Source organism: Homo sapiens, chromosome X (assembly GCF_000001405.40).
Source record: "Homo sapiens chromosome X, GRCh38.p14 Primary Assembly".
Taxonomy (NCBI): Eukaryota; Metazoa; Chordata; class Mammalia; order Primates; family Hominidae; genus Homo; species Homo sapiens.
Genome location: NC_000023.11, coordinates 332,225 through 349,491, shown reverse-complemented (window position 1 = coordinate 349,491; position 17,267 = coordinate 332,225). Strand labels below are relative to the sequence as shown.

Sequence of the window (17,267 nt, the reverse complement as noted above, 5' to 3'; positions counted from 1 at the left end):
GGTGACACTGTCCTCTTGTTCCCAGCACAGGGAAGAAGTGTTCATGTGTCATCGCTGTCTGAGCAGCTGGGGTGTTTCGTAGAGGCCCTTTGTCTGAGCATTCAGGCTGCTGTCAAGAAACACCATAGCCCGGGCAGCTTGTCACCAGCAAGACATTTACTGTTCACAGGTCTGCAGGCTGGAAGATCTCGGTGTGGCAGAGTGGTGCCTGGTTCATCGACGGCGCCTTCCCGCTGCGTCCTCACGGGGTGGAAGGGGTGAGGGAGCTCTCTGGGGTCCCTCAGAAGGGGACTCATCGCATTCATGAGGCCCCACCTCCCAACACCATCGCCTCGGGGGAGAGGATTTCAGCACGTGGATCTTGGGGACCCAGGCATTCAGGCCATAGCACCCTTTATGAGAATAAGAGTGTCCCTCCTGATTCTGGTTTCCTGGTCTATTATTATTATTAGATATTCCTGTTCTATTATTGCCGAGTTGGACTTGCTACTGTGTGTTCTGTGTGGGATTTCTGCCTCTGCTCTCCAGTGATAACTGGCCTGTGACTTCCTGTGTCCCTGACCGCGTCCAGGCTGTGCCAGCCTCGGAACAGGCACTGGGAAACGCCCCTCGTTTTTCTTCTCCAGGGGAACGCATGTGTGATTTCTTCCTTCAATGTTTGGTCGACTCATGGGAGCAGCCTTTGGGGGCTGGAATTTTCTTGGTGGGACAGTTTTAAATTATGGACACAATTTCTTGCAGAAACAGCTCTTTCAGATTTTCTATTGTAGTTTATTTTTTGACTTGTTCATCGGGGAGTCTGTTTCAGCAGTCATCTGACTTACAGGCATAAAGTGATTCATGAGCATCCACTATCTGATGTTTGTAGGATCTGTAGTTACAGCTGACATGGCTAATCTGTATTTGCTCTTTTTTTGAGACAGAGTCTCTCTCTGTCACCCAGGCTGGAGTGCAGTGGTGTGATCGTGGCTTACTGCAACCTCCACCTCCCAGGATCAAGTGATTCTCCTGCCTCAGCCTCCCGAGTAGCTGGGATTACAGGCGCCCGCCACCATGCCAGGCTAATTTTTGTGTTTTTAGTAGAGACGAGGTTTCACCATGTTGGCCAGGCTGGTCTCGAACTCCTGACCTCAGGTGATCCACCCCCCTCGGCCTCCTAAAGTGCTGGGATTACAGGCATGAGCCACCACGCCCAGCCAGCCAGGGTTAATTAATTTTTAAGAAATCTTTCAAATCATCGAGTTTTGATTTTGTTGATTTTCTGTTACTATTTACTTTGCGTTCCATCTCTGCCATGTATTTGTTCCTTTGGGGTAGAAGTGTAGACGATCGATTTTAAACTTTCCTTCCTCACGCGTGTATTTAAGGCTGTGAACCTGCCATGGGTCGCTGCTGTAGGTGCGTCCCACACATTCCATGAGATGTTTCTGTCGCCGTCCGATTCACCGCGTTGCCTGGCTGACGGGGCCATTTATTCCCGTACTTACTGGTTCTTAGTACGTGCCGCTTGATTTCCAGACGCTGGGGATGCAGCCGCCTCTGGTTACAGTGCCCACGCGTGGTCTGTGGTCAGGGGATACTGCGTGCCCGGCACTCCCACGCTCAGCTCTCATGACTGATTGAAGGCTGGAGCGAAAGCCACGTTGAGTTTGCAGATGCCCAGACAGGCCGCGCTGAGCGTGCTGTGTCTTTCTGCAGCAGAGGGTCTCTGGGCGGCGTCGGTCAGGCGCGAGGTACGCAGCAGGAGCGCCGGCGTCCAGGCCCTGCTGACTGCCCACTCCTGCCCTCTCTGCCCCAGGCCTGCGGCTGCCCCCTCTACTGGAAGGGGCCGCTCTTCTATGGCGCCGGCGGGGAGCGCACGGGCTCCGTGTCCGTCCACAAGTTCGTCGCCATGTGGAGAAAGTGAGTCCTGGGCTGGGCAGGGGGCTGTGTCGGGAGGGCGGAGGCGTCCCCGGGTCCCCGTGGTGCCAGGACGGGTGCCCCCTGAGGCTGCCGCAGTGAGAGGAGAAACCCTTGTACGGGCACAGGCCTGGCCGTCGTGTGTGGCCACCTGCCACGCACCACGTGGAACACCACACACGTGTTCCACCCTGCGTCTGCGGGGTCGAAAGCCACCCCCCTGTGAGGGTGGTGCCCAGTCATCCTGTCCTTCCAGAATCCTCCAGAACTGCCACGACGACGCGGCCAAGTTCGTCCATCTGCTCATGAGCCCCGGCTGCAACTACCTGGTGCAGGAGGACTTTGTCCCCTTCTTGCAGGTGAGAGCCTGCGTCTACACCACAGGCCTTATCCTTCACGGGAGGGCCCGCGTCTACACCGCATGCCTCATGGGAGGGCCGGCGTCTACACCACACGCCTCATCCCTCACGGGAGGGTCCGCGTCTACACCGCACACCTCATGGGAGGGCCCGCGTCTACACCACATGCCTCATCCCTCATGGGAGGGTCCGCGTCTACACCGCACACCTCATCGCTCACGGGAGGGTCCGCGTCTACACTGCACACCTCACGGGAGGGCCCGCGTCTACACCACATGCCTCATCCCTCACGGGAGGGCCGGCGTCTACACCATACGCCTCATCCCTCACGGGAGGGCCGGCGTCTACACCGCACACCTCATCGCTCACGGGAGGGTCCGCGTCTGCAGCGTCCACACCGCACACCTCACGGGAGGGCCGGCGTCTACACCACGCGCCTCGTGTCTTCCCACCCGCAGGACGTGGTGAACACGCACCCGGGGCTGTCGTTCCTGAAGGAGGCGTCCGAGTTCCACTCGCGCTACATCACCACGGTGGGTCCCCAGCGGAGGGGCCGTCGGTTCCAGCGCGGGGCGCGGGTGTTTCTGCAGCGGCCGCCGCGGGGCTTCTGCGGACGGGGCGGGCGGGGCCCGGGGTTCCTGAGCTTCCGGAGGAGGCGGCCGCGCTCTGGGAGAGTCTCCACCCGCCCGGGAGCCCGGTGTTGGGGGGACTCTGGTTTTCCGGGGTGGCCGCACCCCCTTCCCACCTGTCCTGGGCCCGTGTAGCTCCGGGGCGTCCCCGGCCAGACCCTCCCCGCTTTCCGCGGCCTGGGGCGGCGCCTCCCGCAGGGCCCTTCCCTCTGCCCCCGCCTGTGCCCTGGCGGCCCCGTGCGGCTGAGACCAAGGGCGCGCCCCTCTCCCGGCTCCCGGTCTCCGTGCGGGGCGAGGCTCCTGGGGGTCTCTGCGCACCCACCGCACTGACAGCGCCCCCGCAGGTCATCCAGCGGATCTTCTACGCCGTGAACCGGTCCTGGTCCGGCAGGATCACCTGCGCCGAGCTGCGGAGGAGCTCCTTCCTGCAGGTGCGGAGCGGCCCCCTGTCCCCTGCCCCCTGCCTTGTCCCTACCCCTCCTACCTCCACTCCCTTCCCTTCCCTCCTCCCCCCTCCCTCCTCCCCTCCCACCCCCTCTCCCACCCCCACCCCCACCCCCACCTCCACCGCGCTCCCAGCCCACCCCCAGGCCTGTGAGCACTGGAACCCCGCCGCCTGCGGTTGGGGGTCCACGGTTGATCTAGGAGGCGGGTGGGGCCGTACTGGGCACCACCCTGAGGGGGAGCCGAGCCCTGACTCCCCCAGAGCTGCCCCCACCCCCACACCCGCCTAGGGAGCCACCCCCATGCTGGAGCTCCCCCCACCGCAGAGTTGCCCCCACTCGGAGTGCCCCCCGGCCCCAGCTGCCCAGTCCCCCCCACCCACGGAGCGGCCCCGACCCTCCCAGCCTTCCCTGCCCCGCCCGCAGCCAGGCGGACTTGGGGCATCCCCGCAGAGGCCCCGCGCTCAGGCCGCCTGGGTCCTTTGGCAGAATGTGGCGCTGCTGGAGGAGGAGGCGGACATCAACCAGCTGACCGAATTCTTCTCGTACGAGCATTTCTACGTCATCTACTGCAAGTTCTGGGAGCTGGACACGGACCACGACCTGCTCATCGACGCGGACGACCTGGCGCGGCACAATGACCACGGTGCGTGGGGGCACAGGGGCGGGCGGGCCGCGCGGACACCGAGCACACCCTTCTCTCAGGGCCTGCGGGTCTGCAGCTGCCTCTCCTTCCGCACTCCCAGCTCTGTGTCTGCAGCTGCCTCTCCTTCGCACTCGCCGCTCTGTGTCTGCAGCTGCCTCTCCTTCCCCAGTCGCTGCCCCGTGTCTGGGTCCCCGCGTGCGCCTCTGCCCGAGGCCTCTGCCTGGGGGCGTCTACAGGGTCAGTGTGGGCCGCTGGTCCTGAAGCTCCTGGCCCGAGGGCCAGCAGCGCTGTGGGGCTTCCTTGTTAACACCCGAGCAAGGGCGGGCAGGCCACACGCCTTCCCTCAGGAGCTCCAGGTTCCAGCCCCCAAGGCCTGGAGCAGTTTCCATCCAATCCCGGGCTAGGTGGAGCCCCAGGCTTAGCGGTCGTTCATATACCTCCGCGGGAGCCGGTGCCGCCCAGGTGTCCTCACAGCAGCCACTGCCTCCCGGCCCCTCTAAGAGTCATCCACACTTGCAGGAACTCAAAGCGGCCTGTGGCCTGTGGGGCTTGAGTTTTCTAAAGGATTCCTTTAAGTGTGCTTTTTACCCCAAAAAACCATATGACCAAGACTGTTTCCGAATTACGGTGGCATCTGTTGTGTGTGGTCGACTCATAATACGCCTGGTTCCCCGAACGTGAGCTGCACCCGTCTGCGTCTCCCGGGGCTGGTCCTGGGTCGCGTGGCCGCAGTAGATCCCTGCGTCGGACGCGCACCTGAGCAGACGTAGCATTCCCTGGATTTGTCCTGCGCTCAGTTCAGGGAGCCACCTGCGCCCTGGGCCCCTAACTAGCCACGAGGAGAGCACAGCTCCACAGCGCCGGCCCGTGTGGCCTGGGCCAGCACCTGCACAGCTGGGAATCGGCCCAGAACCAGGCGCTCACTGTCCCTGTGAACCCCCGGCCCGGCGCGGCCCCAGCTTTCCGCGTTCCTCTGGAGCCCACTCTCGGTCCCAGGGCAGGATGCCGTGTGCGGCCGGGCTGCGCTGTTTCTCACGCACTGCGGCCTGAAGCGGGGGGCGGCACCTTGGCTCGTGCGTCCCAGGGACACCGGTGACCGCAGGGATGGCCGCCCAGGCTGCGGGACCTTCTCGTGGCCCAAGCTGACGGCGACGGTGCTTTCACTCCTGCCTCCCGTTGGTGAGGTCTCCCTCCCGCCTCCCGTTGGTGAGGTCTCACTCCGGCCTCCCGTTGGTGAGGTCTCACTCCCGCCTCTCCTTGGTGAGGTCTCACTCCGGCCTCCCGTTGGTGAGGTCTCAATCCCGCCTCCCGTTGCTGAGGTCTCACTCCCGCCTCCCGTTGGTGAGGTCTCCCTCCCGCCTCCCGTTGCTGAGGTCTCCCTCCCGCCTCCCGTTGGTGAGGTCTCACTCCCGCCTCCCGTTGGTGAGGTCTCCCTCCCGCCTCCCGTTGGCGACGTCTCCCTCCCGCCTCCCGTTGGCGACGTCTCCCTCCCGCCTCTCCTTGGCGACGTCTCCCTCCCGCCTCCCGTTGCTGAGGTCTCCCTCCCGCCTCCCGTTGCTGAGGTCTCCCTCCCGCCTCCCGTTGCTGAGGTCTCCCTCCCGCCTCTCCTTGGTGAGGTCTCCCTCCCGCCTCCCGTTGCTGAGGTCTCACTCCCGCGTCTCCTTGGTGAGGTCTCCCTACCGCCTCCCGTTGCTGAGGTCTCACTCCCGCGTCTCCTTGGTGAGGTCTCCCTCCCCCCCTCCCGTTGCTGAGGTCTCACTCCCGCGTCTCCTTGGTGAGGTCTCACTCCCGCCTCCCGTTGCTGAGGTCTCACTCCCGCCTCCCGTTGGCGAGGTCTCCCTCCCGCCTCCCGTTGGCGAGGTCTCACTCCCGCCTCCCGTTGGCGAGGTCTCACTCCCGCCTCCCGTTGGCGAGGTCTCACTCCCGCCTCCCGTTGGCGAGGTCTCACTCCCGCCTCCCGTTGGCGAGGTCTCACTCCCGCCTCCCGTTGGCGAGGTCTCCCTCCCGCCTCCCGTTGGCGAGGTCTCCCTCCCGCCTCCCGTTGGCGAGGTCTCCCTCCCGCCTCCCGTTGGCGAGGTCTCCCTCCCGCCTCCCGTTGGCGAGGTCTCCCTCCCGCCTCCCGTTGGCGAGGTCTCCCTCCCGCCTCCCGTTGGCGAGGTCTCCCTCCCGCCTCCCGTTGGCGAGGTCTCCCTCCCGCCTCCCGTTGGCGAGGTCTCCCTCCCGCCTCCCGTTGGCGAGGTCTCCCTCCCGCCTCCCGTTGGCGAGGTCTCCCTCCCGCCTCCCGTTGGCGAGGTCTCCCTCCCGCCTCCCGTTGGCGAGGTCTCCCTCCCGCCTCCCGTTGGCGAGGTCTCCCTCCCGCCTCCCGTTGGCGAGGTCTCCCTCCCGCCTCCCGTTGGCGAGGTCTCCCTCCCGCCTCCCGTTGGCGAGGTCTCACTCCCGCCTCTCCTTGGCGAGGTCTCACTCCCGCCTCCCGTTGCTGAGGTCTCACTCCCGCCTCCCGTTGCTGAGGTCTCACTCCCGCCTCCCGTTGGCGAGGTCTCACTCCCGCCTCCCGTTGGCGAGGTCTCACTCCCGCCTCTCCTTGGCGAGGTCTCCCTCCCGCCTCCCGTTGCTGAGGTCTCCCTCCCGCCTCCCGTTGCTGAGGTCTCCCTCCCGCCTCCCGTTGCTGAGGTCTCCCTCCCGCCTCCCGTTGCTGAGGTCTCCCTCCCGCCTCCCGTTGCTGAGGTCTCCCTCCCGCCTCCCGTTGGCGAGGTCTCACTCCCGCCTCCCGTTGGCGAGGTCTCACTCCCGCCTCCCGTTGGCGAGGTCTCACTCCCGCCTCCCGTTGGCGAGGTCTCACTCCCGCCTCCCGTTGGCGAGGTCTCACTCCCGCCTCCCGTTGGCGAGGTCTCACTCCCGCCTCCCGTTGGCGAGGTCTCACTCCCGCCTCCCGTTGGCGAGGTCTCACTCCCGCCTCCCGTTGGCGAGGTCTCCCTCCCGCCTCCCGTTGGCGAGGTCTCCCTCCCGCCTCCCGTTGGCGAGGTCTCCCTCCCGCCTCCCGTTGCTGAGGTCTCCCTCCCGCCTCCCGTTGCTGAGGTCTCCCTCCCGCCTCCCGTTGCTGAGGTCTCACTCCCGCCTCCCGTTGCTGAGGTCTCACTCCCGCCTCCCGTTGCTGAGGTCTCACTCCCGCCTCCCGTTGCTGAGGTCTCACTCCCGCCTCCCGTTGCTGAGGTCTCACTCCCGTCTCCCGTTGGTGAACCTTTGGTTGAAACGTGTTTGTTTCCGTGATCACACTCGAGGTCTCTCTCTCCGTCTGAAAGCTGTACCTTTGAGGCCTGAATATTCTGCTCTTTACAAGTCGGTCTTGGAGCCGCGGTCAGCTTTGCGCTCTGTGGATTTCATGCTGGACTTGGCTCTGCTCGACGGGAAAGCGTGGTGGGCCCCTAGGATGGGCCGTGCAGGGGCATCGGGGCCCCGGGGCTCTCCCAGACCCAGGCGTCCTCTCAGCTTTTCGGTCCCCACCGCATCCAGTCTCGGCTCCGGGGGGTGGTGACGTCGGGGCCGAGGCACGGTGCGGGCTGCCCATCAACCGCATTCCTTTCCAGCCCTTTCTACCAAGATGATAGACAGGATCTTCTCAGGAGCAGTCACACGGTACGTACGGCTCAGGCGCCTGACGGCAGCCATTGCCCCTGCGAGGACCCCGGTCCCTCTCCTCATCGTTGCCTGACGTGAGCTTTTTGTGCCCCGACAGCGAGTGGTTGTCACCCCAGGCCCTGGCGAGGGGGGCACGTGTCTCTGTCACGTGAATCCCTAGTGGGGGGGGGTGGCACAAGACTGTCACGCGAAGTCTGAGGAAGGGGGTGGCCCAGGCCCCAGGTCGGGGGTTCTTGTCGGGCGCTGGGCCTGAGTGAGCAGTAACGAAGGTGCACTCCTGACCCTGCCTGGATCTGGGGAAAACCCTCTGGCCACGGGGCCTCCACCTCCTCCCCGGAGAGGCAGGAGGAGGGGCAGGAGGGGGGCAGGAGGAGGGCCGGGCCCGGGGGGCTCCCCTCACCGAGGCGCGTGGACAGGGGCTCCGTTCCTGTGAAGCTCTCCCTGACATGCATCTTCGTCTCTCCATCCTGGCTTTCGATCTAGAGGCAGAAAAGTGCAGAAGGAAGGGAAGATCAGCTATGCCGACTTTGTCTGGTTTTTGATCTCTGAGGAAGACAAAAAAACACCGACCAGGTGGGTTCCTGCTGCGGCATGCGTTTGTCCCAGTGGAGGGGCCGGGAGCCGCCCATGTGACATGTGTCCCCAGGCGGATGCCTGCACGCCTGGTGGGGGCTGCACGGCACAGGGGGACATGTGCACGCCCGGTGGGGGCTGCACGGCACAGGGGGACATGTGCACGCCTGGTGGGGGCTGCACGGCACAGGGGGACGCGTGCGCGCCCGGTGGGGGCGGCAGGGGGCAGGGGATGCCTGCACGCCCGGTGGGGGCTGCAAGGCACAGCGGGGACGCGTGCACCCCCGGTGGGGGCTGCCTCAGGGGCTGCAGGTCACGGGCTGGGAGGGCCCAGGGCAGGGGCTGACAGAGCTCGCCGTGCCGCAGCATCGAGTACTGGTTCCGCTGCATGGACCTGGACGGGGACGGCGCCCTGTCCATGTTCGAGCTCGAGTACTTCTACGAGGAGCAGTGCCGAAGGCTGGACAGCATGGCCATCGAGGCCCTGCCCTTCCAGGACTGCCTCTGCCAGATGCTGGACCTGGTCAAGCCGAGGACTGAAGGTGATGCCCCGTGAGGGCATGGCCCAGGGTGAGGGGACGGACGGGCGAGAGGACGGCCCAGGGTGAGGGGACGGACGGGCGAGAGGACGGCCCAGGGAGAGGGGACGGATGACAGCCCAGGGAGAGGGGACGGACGGGAGGGAGGACGGCCCAGGGAGAGGGGACGGACGGGAGGGAGGACGGCCCAGGGTGAGGGGACGGACGGGAGGGGGGACGGCCCAGGGTGAGGGGACGGACGGGAGGGGGGACGGCCCAGGGTGAGGGGACGGACGGGAGGGGGGACGGCCCAGGGTGAGGGGACAGACGGGAGGGGGGACGGACCAGGGTGAGGGGACGTCCCTGTGAGGCGCTGTCCTACTGAGTTTGTGAGGAGGGCCAGCACCACAGGTGCCTAGTCTCACAGTGCAAGAACCTCCTATTCGGGGCGTCGACACCCCCCGAGGGGTGACCTAGAGAACCTAGGGCCGGAGCTCACCGGGGACGTTGGCACTGGGCTGAGGGAGCAGTTGCCACGTTCGTGCTGATGCCGCACAAGGCGGTCCTCCCCTCACCCCCCCCCCCCCCGTCTCCTCCCCTCTCACCCCGCCCCCCCCGTCTCCTCCCTTCTCACCCCCCCCGGCTCCTCCCCCCCTCTCGCCCCCCCCATCTCCTCCCCTCTCACCCCCCCCATCTCCTCCCCTCTCACCCCCCCATCTCCTCCCCTCTCACCCCCCCCATCTCCTCCCCTCTCACCCCCCCCATCTCCTCCCCTCTCACCCCCCCCATCTCCTCCCCTCTCACCCCCCCGGCTCCTCCCCTCTCACCCCCCCGGCTCCTCCCCTCTCACCCCCCCGGCTCCTCCCCTCTCACCCCCCCCAGCTCCTCCCCTCTCACCCCCCCCCGGCTCCTCCCCTCTCACCCCCCCCCGGCTCCTCCCCTCTCACCCCCCCCCGGCTCCTCCCCTCTCACCCCCTCCGGCTCCTCCCTTCTCACCCCCCCCGGCTCCTCCCCTCTCACCCCCCCCGGCTCCTCCCCTCTCACCCCCCCCGGCTCCTCCCCTCTCACCCCCCCCCCGGCTCCTCCCCTCTCACCCCCCCCCGGCTCCTCCCCTCTCACCCCCCCCCGGCTCCTCCCCTCTCACCCCCCCGGCTCCTCCCCTCTCACCCCCCCGGCTCCTCCCCTCTCATCCCCCCCCGGCTCCTCCCCTCTCACCCCCCCCGGCTCCTCCCCTCTCACCCCCCCCCGGCTCCTCCCCTCTCACCCCCCCCGGCTCCTCCCCTCTCACCCCCCCGGCTCCTCCCCTCTCACCCCCCCCCGGCTCCTCCCCTCACCCCTGTTCCCCCCACACCATCTCCCCAGCTCCTCCCACCCACCCCCGTGCCCTCTAAGGCAAAGGGGAGCCCCACCGTCCACGCCGCCTGGCTTCCTTCTGCATCTCAGAATCCAGCTCTGGGACTTTCACTTTGGAAATGGCTCTGAGGCCCGGGCACCGCCCTGCAGCCCTGCCCCCCCCGGCCATGGGGCGCCTCCTGCTGCTCAGTGTCCCCGGGACACCCTCTGGCCTCTGCCTGCACGGGGAGCTCCGTTCTCTGTAATTTCAGATCCAGCAGCGCCCCTGCTGGCCGCGCCTCCCTGCGCTAGTCCCAGTCCACGCATCCTTGGGGCACCGGTGGCCCCTAGTCGCCTCCGCATCACGGCCTCCCACGCCTCAGTCCCCACCCAGAACCAGGACACTCGCGTGTCCGCCTTTCACGTCAAACACGTGGCGTGAGAGCCCGGAGCTTCGTGCCGCGTCCTTAAGCACGTGTGACAGGACGCGCGCACCCCACACCCAGGCCCCGAAGGTGAGACCGGGCTCACGCGCCTTGGACGCACTCCCCTCCCCGCAGGGAAGATCACGCTGCAGGACCTGAAGCGCTGCAAGCTGGCTAACGTCTTCTTCGACACCTTCTTCAACATCGAGAAGTACCTCGACCACGAGCAGAAAGAGCAGATCTCCCTGCTCAGGGTGAGTGCGGCGGGCACGCGGGCCGGGCCGCGCCACGCCGTGTACGTAACCCGTGTGCTTCCTCCAGGACGGTGACAGCGGCGGCCCCGAGCTCTCGGACTGGGAGAAGTACGCGGCCGAGGAGTACGACATCCTGGTGGCCGAGGAGACTGCGGGAGAGCCCTGGGAGGACGGGTGAGTGGGGAGGACGGGTGAGTGGGGGGACGGGTCAGTGGGAGGACGGGTGAGTGGGGAGGACGGGTGAGTGGGAGGACGGGTGTGTGTGCAGCCGGGGGATGCGGGGTCAGTCAGGTGGGGTGCGCGGACACAGAGGGGCGGGGTGAGACCTGACACGGGGCCGGTGAGGTAAGGACAGCCGATGACAGGGCCGGGCCTCGGTGCAGTCTGCCCGTCATTCCCCGCGTGGGGTTCTGTGATCCTGGGCGCGAGGCTTCGCACATCAGGCCCAGCACGGGGAGGCCGAGTCGTGTTTCGCCAACGACGTCTGTCCTTATCCCACGGCTGGCACCTGCTGGGCAGGCTGCAGGGCCCGTGGCCATTCCAGCCTCCGCTTCGGCCTTCCAGCCTTGGAGGCCCTGAGAGGCCCTGGGCTGGTTGCTTTCTCACGGAGCGTGAGGGTTCTTCGTGTCTTCAGCATACAAACCCTTTATTTGCGACGTGTTCGCCTTTTTCCCAGTTTGTGACGTATGTTTTCACCCCCTCTTCACGTGGTGTCTCAGAGATGTTCTGAATTTGGAGGAGGAGACACTGACTGGTTATTTTTACAGCGGTGTTTCTGGTGTCATATCTAAGAATTCATTTCTGAATCCAAAGCCACGAAGATTTTCCTCTGCGATGTTTTGTGTTTTGGTCTGGGGTCCTCTTGAGTAACCTTCCCTGTGGGGTGTGAAGCTCGGATTGAGGTTCCCCTTGTGGTACGTGGGTGTCCGGGTGTCCGACTGTCCCAGCATCAGCTTTGCAGGCCGCAGCGTTGCCTCGGCGTCGTGACTGTGCCGTGTGCGGGCTCCGTTCCGGAACCTTCCTCCGTCCCACTGCTGCACGCGTCTGTCCGTTCCCGCGGCAGAGCTGGCTGTGGTGAGAAGCCTCCGACTTGGGCGCCGTGTGGAACTGTCGGGGCCATTCTGGTGTTGGGCTGCCTGTGTGTGAATCTTAGACTCAGCCCGTCCTTGCTCTGCCGTCCTGTGGGAACGTGTGTTGGACTCTGACGTGGTGGTGAGTGCTGGTCCCGGGACCACGTGGACTGTGGCCCCCACCGGCCTCCCGTGGTGCACGCTGGAGCGACGTGGTCACTTTTGCCATCCCGTGCTGAGCTTCTCAGTTCTGCTTCTGTCCCGCGCTACGTTGGCTATTCTGGTTTCTTTGCCTTTGTATGAAAACACATAAGAATAGGCTCCTTCTGGCCGGGCGCGGTGGCTCACGCCTGTCATCCCAGCACTTTGGGAGGCTGAGGAGGGCGGATCACGAGGTCAGGAGATCGAGACCATCCTGGCCAACATGGTGAAACCCCGTCTCTACTAAACAAAAAAAAAATTAGCCAGGCGTGGTGGCGGGCGCCTGTAGTCCCAGCTACTCGGGAGGCTGAGGCAAGAGAATGGCGTGAATCTGGGAGGCGGAGCTTGCAGTGAGCCGAGATCGCGCCACCACACTCCAGCCTGGGTGACAGAGCGAGACTCCGTCTCCAAAAAAAAAAAGCCAGGGATGGTGGCACACGTCTGTAATCCCAGCTACTCGGGAGGTGCAGGTTGCAGTGAGCCAAGATCGCGCCACTGCACTCCAGCCCGGGCAACGAGAGCAAAACTCCATTTCCAAAACAAAAACAAACAATCTGAACTTTTGAGTGAGATCTCGCTGAGTGAATGGATCCCTGTGGGCCCAGCTGCCGCCTTCATAACCGCAGGAGGCCCAGTCCATGGGCGCCGTCCGTGTCTCTCGGCAGGATTTTTGTAGCTTTCCGTGTACGCTTGATGCGAATGTTGTGAGACTTCTGAGTGTTTCCTGATGTTTTCCTGTTGTCAGCGGTGCTTTTAAGGTTCCCGTTTCCAGTTGTTCGTTGGTAGCATATAGAATTTATTGACCTTGTGTTTTGCACCTTCATGAAACTCACTTACTGGATCTCAAAGCTCTGTCGGTTCTTTGGGGTTTTCTGCGTGGACAGCCCATGTCTGTCAGTGGGTCCGTCTCTCGTCTTCCTTTTCACCTCTCTGTGTACGTTACTTCCTTTCTCTTGCCTGCTGCATGGCCTGGAACCCGCAGGGAGATGTGGTGGATGTCAGGGCAGACCACGGCCAGCCTTGAGTGAGCCCTGCTGGTTTGTGTGCCGTCCTCGTTCCCAGTCCTGGGGGACGTCTCCCCTCACGCAGCGGTAAGCACGCTCATTGGCGAGGATGTTCTCCCTCTTCCTGGTCTGCGGGGGCTTTCTCGCAGTGGGGGCCGAATTTCTCAGATGCTTTCGCTCCGTGGTTCCTCTGTGTGTCCATACAGCGAGTTACACCGAGTCATTTTCAGCCAGCCTCGTGTTCCCAGGATAGATCTTGCCGAGTCATGTGTTATCCTCACATATTACTGGATTCTCTTTGCAGAGATTATCTGTAGTATTTTATTATTTTTTTGGAGACAGGGTCTGGCTGTGTCACGCAGGCTGGAGGGCATTGGCGCAATCTCAGCTCACTGCACCCTCCACCTGCTGGGCTTAAGGAATCCTCGCACCTGAGCCCCCCGAGTAGCTGGGCTTCCAGGCACGCACCACCACACCCGGCTACTTTTTTGTATTTTTTTGTAGAGATGGGGTTTCACCGTGTTGCCCAGGTTGGTCTTGGATGCCTGAGCTCGAGGGTTCTCCCCGCCTCGGTCCCCCAACGTGCCGGAATTACAGGTGTGAGCCCCTGCCCAGCCTTGAGTGAGCTTTGCTGGTTTGTGTGTTTCGGAAACTTGCCCGTTCCCATCAGTGGGTTATTGTTGGTATTTCCTGCTCGTGACTCTGATGTCTGCAGAATCCAGTGATAGCGTCTCTCACGCTCCTGATACTGACTTTGTGTGTGATCAGTGAGGCGAGGGGCCGACGAGGTTCACTCCTCTTCCCAGGGAACCACGGGTGTTTCTCCCCTTTGTTCTGCTGTTTTCCTTGAGTATCTTCAGGCAGCGACGTGGGCCATGGACACCGCAGCCCGCGGCCTTCTGATTTTGGTGCAGCTCAAAATACTTTCTGGTTACCGTTGGGTTCCCGACCCATGGGTTCCATGGACGTGCATTTTAACCCCTGCTCCCCCATCAGCCGCCCCGTCCGATTCCTGCCAAGCAGCACAGGGCCCCTGCGGCCCACCCTGGGCCGTCTGTCCTGTGTGTCCGTCCTCCTCGTGGTCATTGTTTGCACGGTGGCTCTGACCTGGCAGCCAACCTCTGGGTCCCCACAACTTCCCAGTCTCTGCCTTCTCCTGTCGGACACCCTAAGGCAGCTGTGGCCCCCAGACCTAGCCTGGATGGGTGTGCGCCTGTCCCCACCACCGTCTGTCACCTCTGCTCCCCACCTGACCAGTGTCCACCCCCACGGCTGCCCGGCTTTGTGTCTGCGGCACAGCCAGCAGCACGCTGGGGTCGACTGCCTTCACCGTGTCCACGCCTGCTCCGGCAGTGGGAGCTCAGGTCCGTGGGGGTGACCGCGGGGAGCTCAGTGCCAGGCTGTCGGGGGCGTCTTGGAAAGCAGAGGTGTCCCCACAGGATCTCTGAGAGTCTGTGTGGTCCGTGGCCGCGCTGGGTTCCCCGGAGCAGCGCCCGACGTCACTGCCGAGACCTTAAGGGAAGGCGCGCGTCCAGTCCTCGCACTGCTGCGTGTTCTGGTCAGAACGGAAGTGGTAGCCTCCACTGGGAGCTTCTGTGCTTTGGGAGAATGTGTCTAAACTGTGGTCCTGTTTGTTCTCCAGTCCTGTGTGGACACCACGACCCAGTTGTAAACACAGGTCCCGTGCAGCTCGCTTTGGGGAAGAGGCGCGCCCGCCCAGGTCCTCTGTGTGTAGCTCACGCCCGGGGCTCCGTCCCGTCCTGGGTGGGTTTTCACCTGCACCGCAGGCCCCTCCCCCGGGAGCATTCGTGGAGCCGGCGTCCTCAGCCAGGAGCGCGTTGCTGGCTCAGCGGCTGGAGCTCAAGGTCGGCTCAGGGGACTGTCTCGTGCTGGAGGTTGGCGGCCGAGCAGCCTGTGTTTCCCGGAAAACGGCCCAGGGCCTGCTCCGCGCTGCTGGCCACGTCTTCGCCATCCCCTCGTTGCAGGTTCGAGGCCGAGCTCAGCCCTGTGGAGCAGAAGCTGAGTGCGCTGCGCTCCCCGCTGGCCCAGAGGCCCTTCTTCGAGGCGCCCTCACCGCTGGGCGCCGTGGACCTGTACGAGTACGCATGCGGGGACGAGGACCTGGAGCCGCTGTGACGCCGCCCGCGAGAACGCCGCCGCGGGGCCGCTCCCCACGTGCCACCACCGGGCCACCGCGGCTCGTGTAAAAACTGTTGTGGAAAATGAGTGCGTTTGTACGGAATGATAAACTTTTATTTATTCACAGAAGCGTGTTGATTGCCGCTGTGGGTTCGTGGCTGGACCTGCCCAGAGCTCTGTGCCAGGGGGACACGTAGGGCCGCGCGTGAATGGGACGGGTTCCCACACGGACACCCTCTGGCGCTTGCCGTTCCCGACCCAGCCTGGGTTCCGGGGCCTGCGTCTGTGGAAAGGGTCCGTGTGCGCACAACGGTGACCGGCGGCTCCCGGGCGCCTCAGTCCTGGACAGGAGCCTCCACCACAGGCTGTGTGAATGTTTTGTGTAAACGTACAAAACCGTTTCTGGCGATCACGCTTGTACGTTTGGAGGATTTTCAGTCACGGGCTCGGCTCCCTCAGCCACAGCGTGGCTCCGTCCAGGATTTACAAGCGTCAGTGCTGGAGGGGGACCGCAGCCACGCCAGACGCCTCGGGGTGCAGCCTGGGCCTCTCTGCGGGGCCCCTCCCCAGCCAGGGGGACCCCACCCTCGGGGCCGTTCCCTCCCGGAGCCACGGACCCAGGCCCCGTTCCACAAACGACCCCAGAAGGAAGGAGCCCGCGCCAGAGTGGGGACGTCCACAGCTGGGGGACACCTAAATGAGGGGGGTCGGAGGCCCCACCAGGAGGAGCTCCCTGTGCAGGGGAGGCCACAAGCACCCCAGGGGCACCCGACGTGGATGAGCCCAGGCCCAGCTGTGCTCCCTCTGCACGCAGGTGAGGGTCACAGGTGGTGACCATGGGAACAACCCCGTCCTCACACACGACAAAACTCTCCCCCAGGAAACGGAGGTGGCAGCGTCCACGCGGCAGGGCAGGGCCAAGCCGGGACCACCCCGAGAGCAGCATACGCACCCCGTTCATCCACCGGCAGCCGTCGCTGTGAAGGAGGCGGACGCACAGGGTGGTCCCGTGACCCCTGAGGAGAGACTGCGGGGGCTCCAGGTGGTGGGTAGACGAGGCAGCACCTCCCGGGGGAATGCTGCTGTCCCCAAGGTGTCCTCAGTGTCACCAGGTGCTCCCCTGAATTCCCGGATGCCCCCACCTGGGTCTGCGAAGGGTCAGGACCCCCAACAACAGGACAGGTGCAGGGCAGGAGGTTCTGCCGCAGGGAAATGACACTGGGAGCCACGGCCCGCAGGGCCCACCCTGCCCTCAGCTCCGGGGAGCCCGTCTGGGAGACCATGTCCGCCCCACACCACCTCCGGACACCACCCCCCAACACACACACACCTATGAGCCGGAGCCCATGGTCATGGGAGGGCTCTGACCAGCGCCCTCAGCCTCCCCACACTGACACTGGGAGCCCCCCCAATTAGGGTTCAAGGCTGAGACATGAGAGGCCTCCCTGGGGCCGTGAAAGACAGCGTCCCCCACCCACGACGCTGGTGAGGCCCCTGCACAGCCACTGAGCATCCTCCGACATCCCTGTACCCAATGCATTCCCCCAAGTGCCCCGTCCTTCCCCAGCCACAACCCCAGATGCCCCGGGCAGTGCCGGGGCCGGGCGTGCACACCGACACCTTTGCCGGAGAAGTGGGGGGGTCCTGTCGGGGGTCCTCGTGGACGGCGGCGCTGCGGGGAGACCCAGAGCCCAGCAGTCATGCCCTCCACGTGTTCTGGGGGTCCATTCCCCCGAGGGCTCACGTGTGCAGGGGGCCAGGGACCCCACAAAACAAGCACTCGGGGCACCCTGACCGTGGCCAGCGTCCCGCCAGAAGCCAGGATGTTCCAGGGCTCAGCGCCTCACCCTCTGAATGACAATCGTGGGTCCCCCGCACTTCGTGGCCGTCACCCCTTGGAGATCCCCGAGCAGGGACCCGACCCAGCCCACCCCTCCCCTCCCTCACGGGGTGCCTTCGTGTCAGAACCAAGAGTGTTCACAGGGGCAGCCCCGGGTCCACCCAGGAGCAGCAGCATGAGCTCTGTTCCGGGAGGACCATGAAAGGTGCCAGCCACAGCCCTGAGGTCCCGGGGCACCTCCTCACGGGACAAGACACAGCTGCTCAAGGCGCAGCAGGGGTGACCGCCGGCACCAGACC

At 64.8% G+C, this 17,267-nt stretch overlaps 1 protein-coding gene across 8 annotated transcripts in view; it reads left to right on the top strand.

The window, feature by feature from the left end:
* The window catches only part of PPP2R3B (protein phosphatase 2 regulatory subunit B''beta), a 52,975-nt gene extending 37,416 nt beyond the window's left edge, over positions 1-15,559 (top strand). For 5 of the 8 annotated variants that reach the window (XM_047442001.1, XM_047442004.1, XM_047442005.1 and 2 more), the window contains 11 exons: positions 1,799-1,902; positions 2,156-2,258; positions 2,717-2,791; positions 3,232-3,318; positions 3,820-3,976; positions 7,561-7,609; positions 8,096-8,185; positions 8,552-8,727; positions 10,596-10,714; positions 10,782-10,888; positions 14,429-15,254. In XM_047442001.1, coding sequence (XP_047297957.1) covers positions 1,799-1,902; positions 2,156-2,258; positions 2,717-2,791; positions 3,232-3,318; positions 3,820-3,976; positions 7,561-7,609; positions 8,096-8,185; positions 8,552-8,727; positions 10,596-10,714; positions 10,782-10,888; positions 14,429-15,125 — 1,764 coding nt within the window. In that variant the 3' untranslated portion in view covers positions 15,126-15,254. Of the gene's footprint in view, positions 1-1,798; positions 1,903-2,155; positions 2,259-2,716; positions 2,792-3,231; positions 3,319-3,819; positions 3,977-7,560; positions 7,610-8,095; positions 8,186-8,551; positions 8,728-10,595; positions 10,715-10,781; positions 10,889-13,493 lie in introns of all 8 variants that reach the window. The other 3 variants (NM_013239.5, XM_047442006.1, XM_011546177.4) reach the window with 2 other exon arrangements.